The sequence below is a fragment of the Homo sapiens genome, chromosome Y (assembly GCF_000001405.40).
Source record: "Homo sapiens chromosome Y, GRCh38.p14 Primary Assembly".
Taxonomy (NCBI): Eukaryota; Metazoa; Chordata; class Mammalia; order Primates; family Hominidae; genus Homo; species Homo sapiens.
The window spans coordinates 19,577,865-19,601,561 of NC_000024.10; the positions used below are offsets into that span (position 1 = coordinate 19,577,865).

The window sequence follows — 23,697 nt, forward strand, 5'->3', positions numbered from 1 at the left end:
AGTGTGGTAGACAGAACAGCAGTGGCTGCCCAAAGATGATCATGTTTTAAGTCCTGACATCTGTGAATTATCATATTGGGAAAAGGTGTTATTGTAGATGTTGTTTAAAGTTAGGATTTTGAGAGAGGAAAATTATGTAGGGTTATCTGGCTGTGCCCAGTGAAATCACAAGAATCTTTATAAATGAAAAAAGAAAGCAGAAGAATCAGAACCAGAGACACGGCATTATGCATAGGACTGGACTTGTCATTACTAGTTTTAAAGGTAGAGGAAGCAGAGATCTAAGAAATGCAGGCAGCCTCTAACTAATGTTAACAAATCTCATTTTCTAATATTGTAAGCCTGTGGAAGAGGCTAGGGCACAGATGCTCCCATAGAGTCTCCAGAAGGAACCTAAGGTAATGAGATAAGCCGCTAAACTTATTGTAATCTTACACAGGTAGTAAGCAAACCTGCTCTTTGCTTGTACATATAATAGTATTTTTATTTTTTTCTAAGGCTGCTTTTTATACAGGCATCCTTGAAAAAATACAGTGGAACAAAGATCCTCTGTATCTCTGCTCCTAAGATAGCAGAGACAGCATACTGGCTTCTGTTCAATTTTCCTTTGATTACACAACTTCATTGGCTACGGTGTTTAATATGACCGTCATAGGCTGAGACAAGATCTGTTCAGTTTATCTCATAAGTTACTAGTTAAATCTCAGACATATTATACTTTTGTAACTGAGTGACTCCCATTGTAAGGATAACTACTTCAATGTGCGTATAAATGAGTCAGTTGTCTCTCTTGGGGGCTTCAACAAATAAGCAAAGATAACCTCATTGTGGAGAGCACTTCACATTTGTTTTTAGGGTTACATAGTCTACTCTGTATCCTTAAACACTTGAAGATCTGTTATAACTACATCTGAGATAGTAGTCACAGTGTTTTCTCATGTTAATGCCTGGCTTCCACCCAGGAGGCACATGTGGTGTGTCTGCAAATAAAGTGTTTATGATTATTGGGGTCCCCCAAGCTGGACCTGTATCCATGTTCAAGTGGCCACAGGGTTACTTGCTTTAGCATGGCTCCTTGGCTGGCTGTTAAGTGAATAATTAAACTGAGTCTTTTTTGCAGGAGCTAACTGAGACCAATCAATCAGTCAATTTTCCCTTTCTGTGTGTAACACAAGCTGGATGTCCCTGGAATGACTAAATAATGACTAGAGGAGTCGGGGAAGACATCCAGTGATAATTAGTTGGGAAGGTTCAGGTTCTGGGACATCCGTTGCTATTTCCGTGTGAATGGCAATCAAATCATCTGAGTTGACTAGCTAGGAAAGCAAATTTAACAGGCCTGTTGTCTTTGGGAAAGACACACAAGGGTGTGCACGTGTGCAGATGTGTGTGTGTGTCTGTAAGTCTTCAGTAGCAGATTTAAAAGTGTCATTAATGTCCTATTCTTATACCTTAGAGTCTTAATATTTTACTTCCCTTGTGCCTAGGGTTTTCTGCTGCCACAGTCTGTATTTCTAGTAACTATAACTTTGACTTCCATTCAGTCATCCCCTACTCACAGTAAATGGTTTGTCCAGAAATGTGAGATGCTAAAGGAATGAGAGTATCTGTAAACCTTTCAGAGCTCCATTATGTTCTCCTCTCTTGCTTGTGTGGTCCATCATAGGGAGACTTTGTGGTCAGTATCCTTGTGATCTAGAACTAGGTCAGTCACAGGGGAAACCAGGTAGCTGGATCCCCTATCCTCATTCTGCAGCTGGATTTGTCCAGGAAAAAGAGAAGTATTAAGCCTAAAGAGCAGTCAGAGTAGAATGCTGAATTTTCAGAAGTTTTATATTAACATAATCATTCATCTTTTTTGTCCTGATAATTACTCAGGAGGAAACTGAGAGGGCATGGTCCCTTTCTATGGATAGCAATACTCAGTGTCCCAATTTTCCTTTGGGACACTGGGACACAGGCAGAGACTCCGAAAGTCTGCATGGATTAGTTGTTCATTCACCACAGCTCCTTAGTGTGCCAGGAGAACTATATATGGCCTTTGGTTTCATTCAGGGACAGGGAAACTTGAACCCATGCCTATTCATTCTCATTAAAGTAGCAGAAGTCATGTTAGAGACAGTATTGCTGCATTCAGTACTCCTGCCTTTAACGCTTCTGACGCTTCCTGAAAGCAGCCCCAGCTCTCCATATGGCAAAACAAAGGCAACCTTATGCAAAGCCTTCTCAGGGAACCCTCAGAAAGGTTTAAACTTAGGTTCACAGTTTTTAGAGAATAATGTCCTCATTGCTCCCTCTGGCACTAGCAGTTTGTACCAGGAGATCTGTTGGCTACTGTTACCCTAGGGTATGGCAATGGTATGTAGGCAATGAAAAATCTTACAGTACTTATTATGGAAAACCAACTTTTTTATTCAGTAAGCATTCCCCTGTGTTGTAAGGTTTTTAAAAGATTGTGGAAGTATGAAAAAGTTTATTATGACAGATGTGCCAGCTCCAGCTGTTTTGTGGAGAGTGACCCTTGGATTTTCGTATGCCCCCATTATATGATGATACCTTGTAATGATTTAATTTTAGCATCTGCTTTTCTTTTCTTTAAAATTTTTTTTTGCCTTTTATGGGGTTTGTTTACCAACCACCACTCTTTTTATTTTTATTATACTTTAATTTCTAGGGTACATGTGCACAACGTGCAGGTTTGTTACATATGTAGACATGTCCCATGTTGGTGTGCTGCTCCCATTAACTCATCATTTACATTAGGTATATCTCCTAATGCTATCCCTCCCCCCTCTCCCCACCCTACAACAGGCCCTGGTGTGTGATGTTCCCCACCCTGTGTCCAAGTGTTCTCATTGTTCAGTTCCCACCTATGAGTGAGAACATGCAGTATTTGAATTTCTGTCCTTGCGATAGTTTGCTCAGAATGATGGTTTCTAGCTTCATCCATGTCCCTACAAAGGGCATGAACTCATCCTTTTTTATGGCTGCATAGTATTACATGGTGTATATCTGCCACATTTTCTTAATCCAGTCTATCACTGATGGGCATTTGGGTTGGTTCCAAGTATTTGCTATTGTGAATAATGCTGCAATCAACATACTTGTGCATGTGTCTTTATAGCAGCATGATTTATAATCCTCTGGGTATATGCCCAGTAATGGGATGGCTTTATCAAATGGTATTTCTAGTTGTAGATCCTTGAGGAATCACCACACTGTCTTCCACAATGGTTGAACTAGTTTACAGTCCCACCAACGTATAAAAACGTCCCTATTTCTCCACATCCTCTCCAGCACGTGTTGTTTCCTGATGTTTTAATGATTGCCATTCTAACTGGTGTGAGATAGTATCTCATTGTGGTTTTGATTTGCATTTCTCTGACAGCCAGTGATGAGCATTTTTTCATGTGTCTGTTGGCTGCATAAATGTCTTCTTTTGAGAAGTGTCTTTTCATATCCTTTGCCCAATTTTTGATGGGATTGTTTGATTTTTTTCTTGTAAATTTGTTTAAGTTCTTTGTAGATTCTGGATATTAGCTCTTTCTTAGATGGGTAGATTAGAAAAATTTTCTCCCATTCTGTAGGTTGTGTGTTCTCTCTGTTGGTAGCTTCTCTTGCTGTGCAGGAGCTCTTTAGTTTAATTAGATCACATTTGTCAATTTTGGCTTTTGTTGCCACTGCTTTTGGTGTTTTAATCAGGAAGTCCTTGCCCATTCCTATGTTCTGAATGGTATTGCCTAGGTTTTCTTCTAGGGTTTTTATGGTTTTAGGTCTAACTTTTAAGTCTTTAATCAATCTTGAATTCATTTCTGTATAAGGTGTAAGAAAAGGATCCAGTTTCAGCATTCTACATATGGCTAGCCAGTTTTCCCAGCACCATTTATTAAATAGGGAATCCTTTCCCCATTGCTTATTTTTGTCAGGTTTGTCAAAGATCAGATGGTTGTAGATGTGTGGCATTATTTCTGAGGGTTCTGTTCTCTTCCATTGGTCTATGTCTCTGTTTTGGTACCAGTACCGTGCTATTTTGGTTACTGTAGCCTTGTAGTATAGTTTGAAGTCAGGTAGTGTGATGCCTCCAGCTTTGTTCTTTTGGCTTAGGATTGTCTTGGAGATGCAGGCTCTTTTTTGGTTCCATATGAACTTTAAAATAGTTTTTTCCAGTTCTGTGAAGAAAGTCATTGGTAGCTTGATGGAGATGACATTGAATCTATAAATTATCTTGGACAGCATGGCCATTTTCACAATTTTGATTCTTCCTATTCATGAGCATGGAATGTTGTTCCATTGGTTTGTGTCCTCTTTTATTTCGTTGAGCACTGGCTATGAAGAGGTCCTTCCTATCCCTTGTAAGTTGGATTCCTAGGTATTTTATTCTCTTTGAAGCAATTGTGAATGGGAGTTCACTCATGATTTGGCTCTCTGTTTTTCTGTTATTGGTGATTTTTGCACATTGATTTTGTATCCTGAGACTTTGCTGAAGTTGCTTATTAGCTTAAAGAGATTTTGGGCTGAGACGATGGGGTTTTCTAATTATACAATCATGTCATCTGCACACAGGGACAATTTGACTTCCTCTTTTCCTACTTGAATACCCTTTATTTCTTTCTCTTGCCTAATTGCCCTGGCTAGAACTTCCAACACTGTGTTGAATAGGAGTGGCGAGAGAGGGCATCCCTGTCTTGTGCCAGTTTTCAAAGGGAATGCTTCCAGTTTTGCCCATTCAGTATGTTATTAGCTGTGGGTTTGTCATAAATAGCTCTTATTATTTTGAGATACGTCCCATTGATACCTAGTTTATTGAGAGTTTTTAGCATGAAGCGCTGTTGAATTTTCTCGAAGGCCTTTTCTGCATCTATTGAGATAATCATGTGTTTTTTTCCTTTGGTTCTGTTTATATGATGGATTACATTTATTAATTTGCATATGTTGAACCAGCCTTGCATCCCAGGGATGAAGCCCACTTAATCGTGGTGGATAAGCTTTTTGATGTGCTGCTGGATTCAGTTTGCCAGTATTTATTGAGGATTTTTGCATCGATGTTCATCAGGGATATTGGTCTAAAATTCTCTGTTTTGTTGTGTCTCTGCTGGTATCAGGATGATGTTGGCCTCATAAAATGAATTAGGGAGGATTCCCTCTTTTTCTATTGATTGAAATAGTTTCAGAAGTAATGGTACCAGCTCCTCTTTGTACCTCTGGTAGCATTCGGATGTGAACCCGTCTGGTCCTGGATTTTTTTGGTTGGTAGGCTATTAATTACTGCCTCAATTTCAGAACCTGTTATTAGTCTATTCAGAGATTCAGCTTCTTCCTGGTTTAGTCTTGGGAGGGTGTATGTGTCCAGGAATTTATCCATTTCTTCTAGATTTTCTAGTTTATGTAGAGGTATTTATAGTATTCTCTGATGGTAGTTTGTATTTCTGTGGCATCGGTGGTGATATCCCCTTTGTCATTTTTTATTGCATCTATTTGATTCTTCTCTCTTTTCTTCTTATTAATCTTGCTAGTGGTGTAACAATTTTGTTGATCTTTTTGAAAAACCAGCTCCTGGATTCACTGATTTTTTCTGAAGGGTTTTTTGTGTCTCTATCTCTCTCAGTTCTGCTCTGATCTTAGTTATTTCTTGCCTTCTGCTAGCTTTTGAATGTGTTTGCTCTTGCTGCTCTAGTTCTTTTAATTCTGATGTTAGGGTGTCAATTTTAGATCTTTACTGGTTTCTCTTATGGGCATTTAGTGCTATAAATTTCCCTCTACACACTCCTTTAAATGTGTCCCAGAGATTCTGGTATGTTGTGTCTTTGTTCTCATTGTTTCAAAGTACATCTTTATTTCTGCCTTCATTTCGTTATGTACCCAGTAGTCATTCAGGAGCAGGTTGTTCAGTTTCCATGTAGTTGAGCAGTTTTGAGTGAGTTTCTTGATCCTGAGTTCTAGTTTGATTGCACTGTGGTCTGAGAGATAGTTTGTTATAATTTCTCTTTTACATTTGCTGAGGAGAGCTTTATTTCCAACAATGTGGTCAATTTTGGAATAGGTGTGGTGTGGTGCTGAAAAAATGTATATTCTGTTGATTTGGGGTGGAGAGTTCTGTAGATGTCTATTAGGTCCGCTTGGTGCAGAGCTGAGTTCAATTCCTGGGTATCCTTTTTAACTTTCTGTCTCATTGATCTGTCTAATGTTGACACTGGGATTTTAAAGTCTCCCATTATTATAGTATGGGAGTCTTAAGTCTCTTTGTAGGTCTCTAAGGACTTGCTTTATGAATCTGGGTGCTCCTGTATTGGGTGCATATATATTTAGGATAGTTAGCTCTTCTTGTTTAATTGATCCCTTTACCATTATGTGATGGCCTGCTTTGTCTCTTTTGATCTGGTTGGTTTATAGTCTGTTTTATTAGAGACTAGGATTGCAACCCCTGCTTTTTTTTGTTTTCCATTTGCTTGGTAGATCTTCCTCCATCCCTTTATTTTGAGCCTATGTGTGTCTCTGCACATGAGATGGGTCTCCTGAATACAGCACACTGGTGGATCTTGACTCTTTATCCAATTTGCCAGACTGTTTTTTAACTGGAGCATTTAGCCCATTTACCTTTTAGGTTAATATTGCTATGTGTGAATTTGATCCTGTCATTATGATGTTAGCTGGTTATTTTGCTCATTAGTTGATGCAGTGTCTTCCTAGCATTGATGGTCTTTACAATTTGGCATGTTTTTACAGTAGCTGGTACTGGTTGTTCCTTTCCATGTTTATTGCTTCCTTCAGGAGCTCTTTTAGGGCAGGCCTGGTGGTGACAAAATCTCTCAGCATTTACTTGTCTGTAAAGGATTTTATTTCTCCTTCACTTACAAAGCTTAGTTTGGCTGGATATGAAATTCTGGATTGAAAATTCTTTTCTTTAAGAATGTTGAATATTGGCCCCCATTCTTTTCTGGCTTGTAGGGTTTCTGCCAAGAGATCAGCTGTTAATCTGATGCACTTCCCTTTGTGGGTAACCTGACCTTTCTCTCTGGCTGCCCTTAACATTTTTTCCTTCATTTCAACTTTGGTGAATCTGACATATGTTTTGGAGTTGCTCTTCTCGAGGAGTATCTTTGTGGTATTATCTGTGCTTCCTGAATTTGAATGTTGGCCTGCCTTGCTAGGTTGGGGAAGTTCTCCTGGATAATATACTGAAGAGTGTTTTCCAGCTTGGTTCCGTTCTCCCCATCACTTTCAGGTACACCAGTCAGATGTAGATTTGATCTTTTCACATAGTCCCATATTTCTTGGAGGCTTCATTCATTTCTTTTTACTGTTTTTTTCTCTAAACTTCTCTTCTCCCTGCATTTCATTCATTTGATCTTCAGTCACTGATACTGTGTCTTCCACATGATCAAATCAGCTACTGGGGCTTGTGCATGCATCACATATTTCTCATGCCATGGTTTTCAGCTCCATCAGGTCATTTAAGGACTTCTCTACACTGTTTATTCTAGTTAGCCATTCATCTAATCTTTTCTCAAGGTTTTTACCTTTCTCGTGCTGGGTTTGAACATCCTCCTTTAGCTCGGAGAAGTTTGTTATTACCCATCATCTGAAGCTTTCTTCTCTCAACTTGTCAGTCATTCTCCATCCAGCTTTGTTCCATTGCTGGTGAGGAGCTGCGTTCCTTTGGAGGAGAAGAGGGGCTCTGATTGTTAGAATTTTCAGATTTTCTGCTCTGGTTACTTTTCGGTTTTATCTACCTTTGGTCTTTGATGATGGTAACATACAGATGGGGTTTTGGTGTGGATATCCTTTGTTTCTGTTAGTTTTCCTTCTAACAATCAGGACCCTCAGCTGCAGGTCTGTTGGAGTTTGCTGGAGGTCCACTCCAGACCTTGTTTGCCTGGGTATCACCAGCAGAGGCTGCAGAACAGCAAATATTGCAGAACAGCAGATGTTGCTGCCTGATCCTTCCTCTGGAAGCTTTGTCTCTGAGGGACACCTGGCTGTTTGAGGTGTCAGTCGGCCCCTACTGGGAGGTGTCTCCTAGTTAGGCTACTCGGGGGTCTGGGACCCACTTGAGGAGGCAGTCTGTTTGTTCTCAGATCTCAAATTCCGTGCTGGGAGAAGCACTACTCTCTTCAAAGCTGTGCGACACGGACGTTGAAATCTGCAAAAGTTTCTGCTGCCTTTTGTTCAGCTATGCCCTGCCCCCAGAGGTGGAGTCTATAGAGGCAGGCAGGCCTCCTTGAGCTGCGGTGGGCTCCATCCAGTTTGAGCTTCCTGGCCACTTTGTTTACCTACTCAAGCCTCAGCAATTGTGGACACCCCTCCCCCAGCCTCCCTGCTGCCTTGCAGTTCGATCTCAGACTGCTGTGCTAGCAGTGAGCCGGGTTCCGTGGGTGTGGGACCCTCCGAGCCAGGCATGGGATATAATCTCCTGGTGTGCCCTTTGCTAAGGCCATTGGAAAAGCTCGGTATTAGGGTGGTAGTGTCCCGAATTTCCAGGTACCTTCTGTCACAGCTTCCCTTTGATAGGAAAGGGAATTCCCCAACCCCTTGTGCTTCCCGGGTGAGGCGATGTCCTGCCCTGCTCCATGAGCTGCACCCACTGTCTGACAGGCCCCAGTGAGATGAATCTGGTACCTCAGTTGGAAATACAGAAATCACCAGTTTTTTGTGTCGCTCATGTTGGAAATGCAGAAATCACCAGTCTTTTGCATCGCTCATGCTGGGAGCTTTGGACTCGAGCTGTTCCTATTTGGCAATCTTGGAACTTCCTAATTTTAATATCTTTATACTTTGCAATTAGGTTACCTCTTTGTGAAATTAAAAATTACATTTACTTTAGATTGTTAAGAAGTAGTGTTACTTGGCTGGGCGTGGTGGCTTACGCCTGTAATCCCAGCACTTTGGGAGGTCGAGGCAGGCGGATCACAAGGTCAGGATATGGAGACGATCCTGGCTAACACAGTGAAACCCCATCTCTACTAAAAATACAAAAAATTAGCCAGGCATGGTGGCAGGTGCCTGTAGTACCAACTACTTGGGAAGCTGAGGAGAGAGAATGGCGTGAACCTGGGAGGTGGAGCTTGCAGTGAGCCAAGATTGCCCCACTGCACTCCAGCCTGGATGACAGAGGGAGACTCCATCTCAAAAAAAAAAAGAAAAATAGTGTTACTTTACAAACCACTATGAAAAGCAAAATAAGCTGCTAAGCCTTATGACCTGCTTGTTTATTGTCAGATATACAAAATGTACAAAAGCATAGAGGGATGGAAAATTGTACTTTTTAGCACTGCTTAGTTTTCTTTGCTTTATAACATTTGATTTAACTCTCTCTTCAACCTTTATGCTTACTCTCCTTCCCTCTAGTTTGTGAATAGCACAATGGAAGAAGCTGGACTTTGTGGGTTAAGAGAGAAAGCAGATATGTTGTGTAACTCTGAATCACATGATATTCTTCAACATCAAGACTCAAATTGCAGTGCCACAAGTAATAAACATTTATTGGAAGATGAAGAAGGCCGTGACTTTATAACAAAGAACAGGAGTTGGGTGAGCCCAGTGCACTGCACACAAGAGTCAAGAAGGGAGCTTCCTGAGCAAGAAGTAGCCCCTCCGTCTGGTCAGCAAGCTTTACAATGCAACAGGAACAAAGAAAAAGTCTTAGGTAATAATCTCTGCTCTGTGGTTGGATGTTGTCACATACTGGTCTTTTTGTTTTACATTTTCTGCAGCATGAGTGATTATGAACTTGGCCTGTTTGGAGGTAAATGTTGCCTGGTAAACTTGTTTCTTCACTTGGTTTAGTCCACCTATCATCTCCAGTTATGTGTAGGGAACAAAAATAGCAAAATACGAAGCCCAGTTATAAGAAACTTAATTATTTCTCTGTGTAACAAGAACTGAAGTTTTAAGAAAGTTTGAGGCCAATATGATGTAATTAGTATTTGATTTACCTTGCTTTTTGTACCTTTGAAAATAACCTAATAGTATGAAAACAATATGTATGCTAATTTTGCTTAAAAGATTATACACTGAAATTTAGAGAGGATATAATGTTATCTGTAGTGTAGAAAGAGTTAAATAAGACTGATTTTTAGAATTTGTTTTATCCCTTCCACTCTTAGCTTGACAATTAGGATTAAGAATATGATATGTCAAATTTCATGACTGAAATCTGAAATGCCTTAATAGTTGCCCTCAGTGTTTCATCCTTATACTAACATTTACATTGATATATATGACTTATATGTGACACTGAAACTTGGAATTTTTATTCTTAATCCATTTTCTGTTACCCTGGAAGACAAAAAAAAAAGTATGGTAATATATAAAGTAATTGTAATTCCTTGAAAATAAGACAGATATCTTCAAAATTGATAGCCCCAATTATATGTGTAAAATATAGCTTGAGGTTAAAATTATTTAAAAAGTTTTAAATGAAAATCTTTATGAAAATGTCAGTTATATTATAGTTGTTTCTTACACATACACATTCAATAACAATATTTATTTATTCTTTTTTCTAGAGAGACAAGGTCTTTCCCTGTCACCCAGGCTGGAGCGCGGTGGTACATTCATGGGTCATGGCAGCCTTAAACTCCCTGAGCTCGTGATCCTGTCTCTTCAGACTCTAGAGTAGCTGGGGCTACAGGCGTACACCACCACACATGGCTAATTTTTTATTTTTCTTTTGTTGTAGAGATGGGCTGTCATTCTCTTGCCCAGGCTGGTCTTGGTATACTGTCCTGTAGCAGTATATTTTGGCTACCTGTACTGGCATTGGCTTTTCCAAGTGTCAAGATTACAGGTGTGAGCTAGTATACCCTGCCCAGTGTTTCTTTCTTACTTGGCTTTGGTGTGAATGAGAAAAGAATTTAGTACTAAAATTTTATGTGCATACAGAAGCATTATTTGAAGTCAGCCTGTTTTCCCTCAACCTCTAGTACTCTGTAAAGTATACCAAAAGTCAAGGTTTTAAAGAACTGTGTTACATATTAGAGAGAACAAATCAAAAGTTACCTATCTCCATCGTTACCAGTAGAACATTAGTATGTATTTTGAAGCACCATTTGACTCTTTCTATTTCAGCTACTTGCTTGTCCCTTGCAAAGTTATTATAGTACTCTTTTAAAACTTTTCTTCAAGGGAAGAGCTATTTTGACTTCCTTTTCTTTGATCTAAACCTAACACCCAGAATATGCTTAGCAGATCATCCCAAAACAATCATAACTTGTTTAAATTGTTCATAGCAAAAGTTACATATTATAAAGAGTTATGAGTGTCTTAGGCAGTGAATAGTAACTGAATATCCTTTTATAGTTGTCCTTCACTAGCAGGAAGCCTTATTCCCTGCCCTTTTACATATCTTAACTTAGAATGTTACTGTCTAAATAGTGGTTAGGCAAGAGTAGTTCTTAAACGTGCAGTAATTATCTTGCACTACATTTAAGGGCTAAATAGCTAGTAGTGGTGCTTGATAATTGAAGAAATTTGTACAGCTGGAGGAAGTACCTGCTAAATTTTCAAAAGTTACCTGAATTTAATAGGTAAATCTGTTTTTAATTAGAGCTATATCATTTTACTCTGAATGTCTTAACATAGAAGTTTACATAAAATTTACAGATTGGATTGATTTCAGCCTTCTTCTGGTACTTTTTAAAATCTTATTAATCATTAGGAAAAGAAGTTTTATTATTGATGCAAGCCCTAAACACTCTTTCGACTCCAGAGGAGAAGCTGGCAGCTCTCTGTAAGAAATATGCTGATCTTGTGAGTATTTATTTAATGGAGCAAGGAACACAGAAAATAAAATCTATGTGTGCTTGATAAGATTTTTAAATATTATTTTGATGTAACTTTAAATGTAAAATGATATTTTATCTCAAAATTGAAAACAATCTCCTTTCTTTAGTACTTATGATTGGTGTGTGTGACTTCATCTTATGAAATGATGTATAGAACATAATAATACTTTTTTAAATGTGAAATAAATTTCCTAAAACTTAATATGCTAGATCAGCAGTTTTTTTTTTTTGTATGCTTAAGATGCCTGACAATTGGGAGGAAGTGGTTTCTGTATTTAAAATTTTCCGAAGGAATTCTGCAGATTCAAGCTCTAACCATTCTTGATTAAAATTGTGAGTTAGATAAGATTGTTTAGTAAAATTGTACTATGGCTCAGGAAATATTTATTTAATATCTACTGTATGCCAAGCATTGTTCTTTTTTCCATCTTCCAGGGAAATTCACCTCTTCTATAGAAGAGTTTGTTTTGAACTATACGATTTGAAACAAAATTCTTTTTTTGGAGACTATGGAAACATTCTCAACAGGGAAACCCTACTAGACTTTGTAAAGCAAATAATGGAAAAGATACAGAACTTTTTGAAGAATCATGGGAAATTTTTATAATTAAATAAATGCTAAAATTCTGTTTTGTGAAACATTTATGGGAATTATCACTGACAGTTTTTGTACACTTTCAAATAGTGTTAAAGCAGCAACTCCATGTTGTAAATGCACAAAACAAATATTTAGTTAATAATCAACTCCAAGAATAAAGCTGTAACAATAATAGTTACTATTCTCTCATGTGGTCCATATTTACCTCCACTTAGCTGGCATCTTCAAGTGCCACATACTTAGCAGCAGCCTGGCACCTTCTGATATTTTGAGAAGCAGGAATCCCTGAGCATAAATGTAAATAGCTTAGAACTGTCCAAAAGCAAAGACAGCAGAAAATAAAATTGTTGCTTGCTATGTTCAGGAAAGGAATGCTTCCATTGGATATGGAAGCCAGTCTCAATTGTTACATCAGCCTGAGGAAACTCATGCGAGAAATGCCAGAAAAAGAAGACAGCAACAAAGAAGATAAAAGAAAGACTGACAAAAGCATTGAATTTCTGGTAGAAAAAGCAGTGTACTAGAAGGTTAGGAGATTTCCTAGCTGTCAGCCATGAAAGGGTTGGGGAAGAAAGAGCAATTTGGTTGCATACTGTAGCATGGTCATCTAGGGTGGTCCTCAAACACATAGAAATCACACAAGAATTGTCAAATTGAAGATTTGGATTTAGTAGATCTGAAAACGCACTTTGTAAAATTGGCCACAGTAGAGGTGGAAGTGACTGAAATACTGCATTATTTATTTATTTAATTAATTTATTTTAGTCAGAGTCTTGCACTGTCGCTAAGGCTGGTATACCATGGTTCAGTCACAGTTCACTACAGTCTTGAACTCCTAGGCTCAAACAATTCTCCTGTATCGGCCTCCTGAGTACCTGGCACTACAGACATGCACAAGCATGCATGGCTAATTTTAAAAAAATTTTTGTAGAAATGGAGTCATGAACTCCTGGGCTCAAGTGATCCTCCCACCTCAACTTCCCAGAGTGTTGAGTGAGATTACAGTTATGAGCCACCATCCCTGGCCAATAAAGGTGTTTTTAATACCTATAAGAATATTGCCTGCAAGGATGTTTGATAGGTTTCTTGATATTTCATTCTCTCTTGAAATGTTTGCTTCGTCAATTTTTTATTTTTCATAAAAGCTTTACTCAAGAATTAGGATGACCACTATGTTATCTAGTAGTATAATTTGGAATCATTTATTATAAATCTGAAACTGACTTGACTGATGAATCTTGAGCACTGCTTATTGTGTTCTAATTTTGGTAGCTGTTTCAATAAAGTAGCTCTTGTAGAATAGGAAAACTATATCATTTTAGTCTGAAATAAGCTTTTGATTAAAAGGTTACTTTTTCCTATTAATAAAAAATGGAGATTAAGATTGCTTTTCTTGCTACACAAAATTATTTACATACTTTCCTGTCACTAGAAAAGAGGGGAACATAAAATGTTCCATGGCTGTAATTGCAGTGCTTAGAGCTATAACTCAGATTACTATACTTCCTAAATGTAAAGTGGTTATTAATTTTAGCTGGAGGAAAGCAGGAATGTTCAGAGGCAAATGAAGATTCTGCAGAATAAGCAAGCTCAGATTGTCAAAGAGAAAGTTCACTTGCAGAGTGAATACAGCAAGACCATCTTGGCAAGAAGCAAGCTAGAATCTCTTTGCAGGGAACTTCAGCAAAATTAATGTCAAAATAAGACATTAAAGGTTAGTTGGTTTATTTTACTGTATTTCAGGAACTACTTAGGCTGCTTTTATAATCGCCTTGTAACTACTTGAAATAAATTCTTGCTCTATGTCTTTTAATGGGAATTAGTTGCTATAATGGCTTCTTGTTAACTGGCTCAGGTACACTTGTGCTGGTAGATCAGATTCCTAAGCAGACAACTTTGTAGACATCTTAACACAGAGATCCCTTGCTTTTTGTTTTGCTTGAGCTGATGCTGCCTGTGAGGTAACTCTCTAAAGACTCACTCTATGTAAATTTTGGTTTCAGATTCAAGGATAAGCTCTACCTTAGTCTACTGTATACTTGATCACAGGGAATCTAGATGACATTGGTTTTTATGTTCACAGCTCTCCTGCTTAAAAAGCTCACAGTTGCCAGATATTTTTGTTGGCTTTTGGTGTAGTTGGTTATCATGTCCTTTTTTGGTAATGAGTGAAAATCTTAGCTGAAATGAAGAAACTGGTAGCCATAGTCAGTGTGAGTTTGAGAAAGAAAAACACACTGTAGAGCTCTACTATAAAAGTTAATAGGATAGATTGTTAAACTACATTCTGCCATCTTTGGCTATTTGGTTGCTAAATACTTTAGAATATTACTTACAGCTAGGCTGATTATAACAGAAGAAGGATTAAGTATGACAGCTTGTCTCAATAATGGAAGTAAAAAGCAGAGATCCTGGAAAGAATCTGCCATCCATCAGAGGAATTTGTCTGACTTTGTGGTATTGCTAGGGGGTGTATGGTTGGAGTATTATTTTGATGGTGCTGGATCACCCTCATCACAGTAAACTCAAGAACATAGGACAGCTTGTGAAATAGGTTCTTACTTGTAAGGTTTGTATTTATTTTTCTTGCTTTTGAAATCTTGGATTTAAATATAATAAAAGTAGATAGCACTGTCAATATTTAGACTGTACTGATAACTGTTTAGGTAAAGGTCTGTTGACACTTGTATCCTAGTAAGACTTTGAAAGTAAACTTTGTAAAATAATGATTTAGTTTGTCCCTTCCCTCTTATAAAATTGAAAGTGTAACTCAGAAAGTAGGCTGTAAGATCTTCAGGCTGATGTAGGATGGTATACTGCCTAACCAGTGAGGATGACTTTTGGGAAAATAATGTGGAAGAAACTAACTGTGGAGCAGCATCTTACTTATATTTAATTATAGTATAGTGAATATCTGGATCAGCAGATGATACTTATTTTATAGTAGGGCATTTGCTTTTCTCTAATTATCTACTTAGAAAAAGCTGCTTGCTTTTAAATGAGAGATTTCTGGTCATAAATAAGGGGGAGGAATTATAGTTTAAAAGCAACACCTCATGGGAGCAATAAATGAACTCACATAGCAGTAGCTTCTTTTTCGCGAGCTTTATCTGTAGGTCTGTACTTTTAACATACATTATTTTGGATAATAAGGAGGAACATATGCAGCAGAAAAAAGAGGAGGAAGAAGTTCTTAAAGAAGTAACTGCACATTTCCAAATTACTTTAACTGAAACTCAAGCCCAGCTGGAACAGCATGAAATACACAATGCCAAACTGCAGCAGGAGAACATGGAAATGGGAGAAAAGCTAAAGAAGCTCACTGACCAGTATGCACTGAGGGAAGAGGTAAACGGCGTTTGGTTTGTTTATAGACAGCTGCTCACCAGTAGCAAAAGCTACACCCTACCGTAAAGTAAAAACTCTTTCACAGGACAGTATTTTAGAACTTTTGTGTATGCACAGTGGAAATTACATGTTTATTAGGAAAAGAGTAGAAACCTGTAAACAGAATGACTAAATTGGAGCATCACTTGGCCCAAGTGTCAGTGGAGTAGGATAAGTAAAGGGATTTCTAGGAGATGTGTACCACTTGTCTCCCATATGATGCTACAAGATTGTCAATATAGCATACAGATATTTTTCTCTTATGCAGTCTAATAATACAGATTTGTTCCCTAAATACTCTGTATCTCAGATTTCTGTGACAATCTGAACAATATAAATAGGAGAATTGTGCTATTTGTGAGAATAAGGAACCTACTAATTACCCATCACCAAGTCACATTGTTTGTGTAATCAATGAAGTAAAAAGTTTGTGGAGGACTCAATAGTTGTCGAACCTAGTCATTGGAGTTATTTTATAAATTGATGTGGAAGTTGTATGATGGCTAAATAAAAAACAAATAGGTGATAACCTGCTTATTTGTTTTTATTTTTTCTTTACTTTTAGAGGTCTATACATAGGGTAAGATTTCAATTTTCAAAGGATGCATCCCCTTCCTTTATTATGCTTTAAGCTAGTAAAATATATATTTAAATCCTTACTTAGTAGATTAAAATTGGAAATAGAAAGTGACAATTTAAAAATTAATAAAACAGTAAATATTACTTTATGCATATCAAAATGTTATTTTGAGTTACACCTTTTCATGCTACTTTTGAAAACATTTTTCTTTAAGATTTTGAGTATCTTTTAAACCATTTTCCTCTATGTTTCAAGAACATTTCAAACTTATTATGGAAGCTGCAAACTTATAGTAGAATATATCACTTGGCTTTAGCAATTATTTACTTTTGTTTCTAGCAACTCTTGTTTCCATCTATTTTTAAGCAAATCCAAGATATTATATCATTTTATTTATTACTATTCAAATATGCATCATGAAATAAGATTCTTTTTAAGCCATAATCACTGTACTATTTTTACTCCAAAAGGTTAAACAATTGCTATGTAATCACATACCTTCTCACTGTACTATTTAAATATCTGTTACTTCCCTTTTCCTTCAGGTTGTTTACATCAACATCAAAATAAGGTTTATACATTTTATTGTTTTAATATGTCTCAAGTCTTTTTAGTATATAAGCTTCCCCCCCCTCTTTTTTTTCCTTGGAATGTATTTATTAAAGAAATTTTTTAGGCCTATATAGTGAACTTTTAAAATTAAATTTGTTTTATATTATAAAGCATATTATGAATATCATCAGTTTTTTTAAAAGAATCCTTTAAATTCCATTGTTTTAAATAATGGTATTAAAAATGATTAATTTTATTTTATTTTTTATTATTTTACTCTTTAGGATTTATATTATTTTAACTGTATTAAACTCTCCAAATTTGCTATAGAAGTAGCAGATTGGGAGAGGACATGTGTTCAAGTTGTACTACTTGTATGTCTTGTTTAGATATTACAGTCTTTTTCTTTTATCAGAAAATAATTGAATAATGATAAAATCAGTTGCAGATTAAGACAGATTATCTGTTGCAGTCTTCTCAAAACTTAATTTAAGTACATTATTTTCAGCTAGCATTTCTTCCTTCACATAGAACCTCCATGTGTGGAGGGATTTCCTAATGAGTCTATTGTATGTACAATAGCACTTAATGACATAGCTTTTAAATAATAACAGGATTTTACCAAATGTTTAATATGTGCCAGGCATCAAGCACCTTACACAGTTTAATTATTGCATAGATTTGGACAGCAACTCTGCAAGTTAGGTATGGTCATGAACCTTTGCAGATAAGGAAACTGTGTTTCACAAGGAGAAGAAATTGTCCTGGATCATACAATAAGCTAGGATTTGCTCCAGACCATTTTTTTCATTTTATCAGGCTACCTACAATTAAGGAATTTCAGAAGATTTTGTGAACAAAAAATGTCCAGGAATTATGTGTGTAATAAATGAATTTGATATTTTGATCTCCTTATCCATCTTTTTCTTGATAAAATATCAGCTTTTTTTTTTCCAATGTAGGGCAGAAGCAAGAAGTACAGATATTTTGATGGGGACAGCCCACGTCTGATAGGGTGGGACATGGGGCAGCAGTTAGAGGGTTGTGCTCTTTCTAGTGTGGGATAGTTTGCAAGATGATATGTTGTAGCCACTTCTGCAGTGACGGGGACAGAAGGAGTCAGTGTTCTTAACTACAGTGGTAGCAGCAGAAAAGAAGGGTAAGCAGGGTTCTAGAAATTTGTGTTATGTTTTCTCCCCACTGTATTTATTTCTTTGGTTAGTGGTGCAAGAAATTCTGTTTTCCTGTAGCAAATTAATAAAGCGTTCAAACATAAGGAATTACGACAACAGCTTGTAGATGCCAGACTTCAACAAACAGCACAGCTGATAAAAGAAGCTGATGAAAGACATCAGAGAGAGAGAGAGTTTGTAAGTTCTACTTCTTGGAAAAAAAAAAAAGATCGCCAAAATTGTAACCAAAGCCATTTAAAACAAACTCCTCACTTAACATAGTGCCAGGGCATGCAATTTTGTTTCTTACTCTCTGGATGTGGGATATGCGAGTGTGTGTGTGTGTGTGTGTGTGTGTGTATTAAGCTTTCTGTTTCTGATGAAATTTTCATATGAAATTTACTGGAGATAAGATTAAATTAGTGGAAAAACAAGATAATTTTGCTTTCTATGTAGTGGTCACCAAGTTAAAGAATTGTGCCAGTTATTAGGCAAGATAGGCTTTGAGATTTAGGGACAGTTAAATTTTACACCAACTTAGTGAACATGAGACTTCTACCTAGTGTTACATTTCATTTTTAAATAAGCAATTTAAAAATTGGTAAATGATTTGTTTACTTTGATTATATTCTGGTATAATTTTCTGACAAAATTATCTGTGTCTTGGTCAGCATTGTTGCTAGAATATGTATTCAGATTTTGTCTGTCCATAATTGAGAACACAGAAAAAATCTAATTTGACTATACCCATTTACCCCCATGGAAATGAAACTATATTCTATGAATGAAAAATGATTTTAATAATGTGGTGTATTACATTTTCTTCATTCAAGTAATGTAGGCCCTGAGTAGAGCATGTTATGAATATTTAGTTCCTTAGTGTTTTCTCATTCAAGCCTCTCATATTGAATGAGTCTAGGGTTTGGAGAGATGTTTCACACAGCATGTCTCTTCAGTGCAAGCTGACAGATATCAGTGCACAATTAAAGAAACTTAATTGCACCTTTCAACTTGGAGTATAAATTTTGTATGTATCTATGTATATCTATGTGTGTATTTTGTGGTTTAAGGCTTATTTACATAATATGTGACATTTTACCTCAGAAATTCAGTGACTGAATTTCACAGCTGCTTCCCATGCATCTTTATTATCTATGTTTCTGAAAAACTCAAATACTAACTAATCTCTTTTCTTCCCTTAGCTGTTCCTTTCCTGTGGTTTTAAAAAAGTGACCAGAAACTAGGTCTCTATTTTCATTGCTTTGCTGCATATTCTTTTAACCTGCTTTTATCTTTTACAGAGTTGAGGGGCTTTCTAAATAACCTAGACAATGTCAAGATTCTTAGCTGCGTTTTCTGTCTAAAAGTGTAGATGTCTAGTTATTCCTCATGTAAAACACAACATTTCAACCCTGAGTACTATAAACTTTATTATGCTTCTAGGTTACTTTTTCTCTTTAAGCAATTATTCCTACATTCCTAAGTGTTCACCAGTGGAACAGATAAGAGATAGAAGTAGTTAGAAATTGAGATAATTGGGTTGACCTGTCATTGTTGCCAGGATAATTACTGGAAGATTAAGCCTATCTGTTAGACATTTTGACCATGTTTATAATTGTTGTTAGTATTCTGTCAGAATGTATCTGTTTTCTAGTTATTAAAAGAAGCAACAGAATCGAGGCACAAATATGAAGAAATGAAACAAGAAGAAGCACAACTGAAAGAGCAGGTAACTTAACAACAGAGAATAGCAGAATTTGTGTCTTCTTGTTCCCAGCCACAGACTAGAACAGAGGATTTGATTCTTGTCCTCTTGGAAACTTTCTCTTCTTTTAGGGTGACCAATTAATTCTGATTTGCCTTGATTTTTTTTTGGCATTTTTATGGCACCATAAAAACCATAAATGATTTGTATTCATTTTGGCAACCCTAGTTCCAGGTTGATTGTGATGGCTGGTTGTGATGGCTATTTTGAAAGTTGGCTTTCCTCTGTCCCAGATATTTTCTCTAAAACCTTTATAATTTTGTCTTATGGCTAGCTACATAGAATTTTAAAATATTACAAATGGCCAGACAGTCCTACTTCACCATAAGATTTTGTGTGTGTGTGTATGCTTTCTAAAAAAATATTGGGCTCTCTCCATTTTTCAGTCTGGACCCCTATAGTGTCCCATTCTAGTCTTTGTGTGCTTTTATTGTTTGAGATAAAGGAAACAGATGCTGTATGTTCACTTTCTAAGGAAAGATATCAGAAATGTTGTGCAGAAAAAACATAGATATGTGTGATTTTCCAGAAAATTGCAATGGAACATCTGCACTTTGTGTACTTGATGTGAAAGCTCCTGATTTAGGATACTGCAATAATAAGACTAGCTATTGCTTTAAAGGAGTATGTAGAGATAGGGATAGACAGTGTGCACAGTTATTTGGAAAATTTTCTAGGTCTGCTAATCTTCTGTGTACAGAAGAAGTGAATTTTCTAAATGACAAATTTGGAAAATGTGGTTCCTGTTGTCATTTTTATGATATCATTTATGGAAAGATTGTCTGTCACTGGACACATTCAGAACCAGTATCAATGACAGACTTTGATATACAATATACTTACTTTGGAGGTCACGTATGTTTGTCGGCACATGCAAGAAATGGTTCAAAACATGAGGGACATATACAGAACCTGTGACTACTTGTGGTCAGCACAAGGTATGTAGATTCCAAGGATGCAGATATCTTAGTGTAATAAATATAACAAGATTTAACAAATTGCAGAGAGATTGTGGTTTGCAATGAACATTTCCATTGTCAGTGTGATCCTGGTTATGAAGAAAGGTAACTAAATGTAATGTTCTGCGTGGCTTGCTGCTGTTATTCTCCCACCTAAAATAAAAAGTCTATGATGATGGCATTAATAGAAAATTGCTTTTTCGACCTCTTTTAGGTTATCTTTTTCTTAACTGTACTCCCACTAATTTTATCCCCCATCAAACTATTTGGCTTCTGGTTTATTTTTCTGCATACATAAAGCAAAGAGTTAGCCTTAATATTAAACTAAGAACTAGATACCCTCAACTAAGCTAAATACTCTAAAGGGATGCTCTTTTTACAAGAAAAGGTTTTCAAATGCAAAGAAGACTTAGTAATACCCAAAGCATTATGGTTATATGAAATTCACAGCTATACCACTGTACTTCAGTTTTTATTACAACTGATGGAGTAGAGCTAATAAGTGATTTTACTTTTTGTTTGTTTATTTTGTTTTGTTTTTTTCAGACAGAGTCTCACTGTGTCACCTAGGCTGGAGTGCAGTGGTGCAATCTCAGGTCACTGCAACCTCCGCCTTCTGGGTTTAGGCAATTCCCCTCCCTTAGTCTCCCAAATAGCTGGGAGTACAGGCACTTGTCACCATGCCCGACTAATTTTTGTGTTTTTAGTAGAGATGTGGTTTCACCATAGTGGCCAGGCTGGTCTTGAACTCCTGACCTTGTGATCCACCCGACTTGGCCTCCCAAAGTGCTGGGATTACAGGCATGAGCTTCCATGCCCAGCCTTACCTTTTAACATTTACAGTTAAAGATGATGAAGACAGTGAAGTTTCAGTGCATTTCAGTGGGTTATAAACATTTCAGGTATATATTCTGCAGTTCAGGGATTGGGTGTGTGTTTCTGTTGTTTTTCAGTCATGTATCAAACCTAATGTTTAATTATATTAAGTTTTTTGAAAGTTATTATGTTATTTTAAAATCTTTTGGGGTTTTAAATTGCTTTTCTGAAACTCTGAATATTTGATCATTTTTTTCTATAGCTTTTCCTTTATATGGATAAGTTTGAAGAATTCCAGACTACCATGGCAAAAACCAATGAACTTTTTACAGCCTTCAAGCAGGAAACGGAAAAGGTATTTACATATTTTTAATAGAATATTATGTAAAAAGTAATTGATACAAGAGGTTATTTTAAGCATAACTGTGGCCAGGCGTGGTGGCTCACACCTGTAATCCAAGCATTTTGGGAGGCCAAGATAGGAAGATTGCTTGACAAGAGGAGTTCAAGACCAGCCTGGGTACCATATTGCTACAAAAGTGGGAAAAAAAAAAAAGTGGCCATACGGGGTGGTGTGCAGTTGTAGTTCCAGCCACTCTGGAGGCCAAGGTAGAAGGATTGTTTAAGGCCAGGAGGTCGAGGCTACAGTGATCCATGATCATGTCACTGTACTTCAGCCAAGGTGACAGAGGGAGACCCTGTCTCTGAAAGAAAAAAACAAACAAACAAAAAAACATAATTGCACTTATATGAGTTTATATTAATCTGATAGTATCTTTTTTTTTCTTTCACCAGCTTATTCAGGTATTTTGCCCTAAAATTGCCCCAGAATACTAATTATCATGGTATTCTGAGACTTCTATTACAATTAAAGAGAATTCTTCCATTAAGGACAGTTTATTTGTAGATGATTTTTGTTTAGTCACCTCTCTTAATTACCCAGTTCTTTCACATAGCCTTATGTAAACTAAAAATTTTATATAAAATTATTTTAAAAATCCAAGCCAAGGAAAGTAATAATATATCTTGGTAGGAATAGCTTTATTTCTGAGGACCTAGCTAAACCTGAAATATATTTACTCTTTGAAATTTAAACTACATATATGTATAGTTTTTATATATATATATATTCACACAATATACAAGATGTATTCTTAATACAAAATTTAATTATATATATAAACTATATATATATTATATATAAACTATATATGTATTCACACAATATACAAGATGTATTCTTAATTAATACAAAATTTAAACCGTTTTTTAAAATTAGATGTAGAAAAATGTTATGGGTTATTCCAATTCAGCATACAGGCTAAAATAGCAATTTTAAAGAGCAGAATTATCTGTCTCCCCAAATAAACACATAGCACTGCGGTTTGGAGCATAAACTCTGAAACTGAGATCTCTAACTTGCACTTCGTGACTTCCTTAGGGTGAGTCATTTACCTTGGCATTTCCCTATTTAAGTTAAGATTTCTTTAAAATGTGCTGATTGGAGATAGTACAGTAGCTGTGTCTGGGAAATTCATAAGCATTCAATATATGTTAGTCTTGATTATTATTAGATCTTTTTTTGCTATAGATGACCATAGAACAAGTTATTTAACTTTTCCATGTCTTTCTTTTCTCATGGTTAAAAATAAAAACAGCAAAAACATCTAATATACTTAAGTCAATTCTTGGTTGTGTTAAATACTCAAATTACTACCTTCATTACTTTTTAGACTTAGTAATTGGGAGAATTCATTGAGTAACAAATAAGTTCTTCCTGCCTATCCTTTCAGTTATGACTGCAGTGGAAGCAGAACTGTTAGGCACAGTGAAAGTGTTAGATGGACTGTAGCATATGCTACATAGTGGGTGTAAAGGTGACTGTAGTTCAGCACCTAACAGATCTTCCAGACCTCTTCTCCTGCCTTTTGTACGAGTTTGACTTGTGATACAGTTTTGTTTGTTAACCAAAGCACAGGATATTTGCTTTATCTTACCCTTATTTTCCGTAACATTGCCTGGCTCGTTACCTGTATTTGGAACAAAGCTGATTGAAGGATATACCTAAAGTTTATCCTGAGTGTC

The 23,697-nt window shown here is 36.6% G+C and overlaps 1 pseudogene across 2 annotated transcripts in view; it reads left to right on the top strand.

Annotated features, from left to right (window-relative positions):
• The window catches only part of TXLNGY (taxilin gamma Y-linked (pseudogene)), a 39,813-nt pseudogene that overhangs the window by 10,507 nt on the left and 5,609 nt on the right, over window positions 1-23,697 (top strand). The window contains exons 2-8 of one of the 2 annotated variants that reach the window (NR_045128.1): window positions 9,346-9,643; window positions 11,657-11,748; window positions 13,916-14,095; window positions 15,535-15,729; window positions 18,151-18,270; window positions 19,727-19,801; window positions 21,875-21,967. The product of NR_045128.1 is annotated as a taxilin gamma Y-linked (pseudogene), transcript variant 1 (transcript). Of the gene's footprint in view, window positions 1-9,345; window positions 9,644-11,656; window positions 11,749-12,218; window positions 12,560-13,915; window positions 14,096-15,534; window positions 15,730-18,150; window positions 18,271-19,726; window positions 19,802-21,874; window positions 21,968-23,697 lie in introns of those variants that run through there. The other variant, NR_045129.1, reaches the window with a different exon arrangement.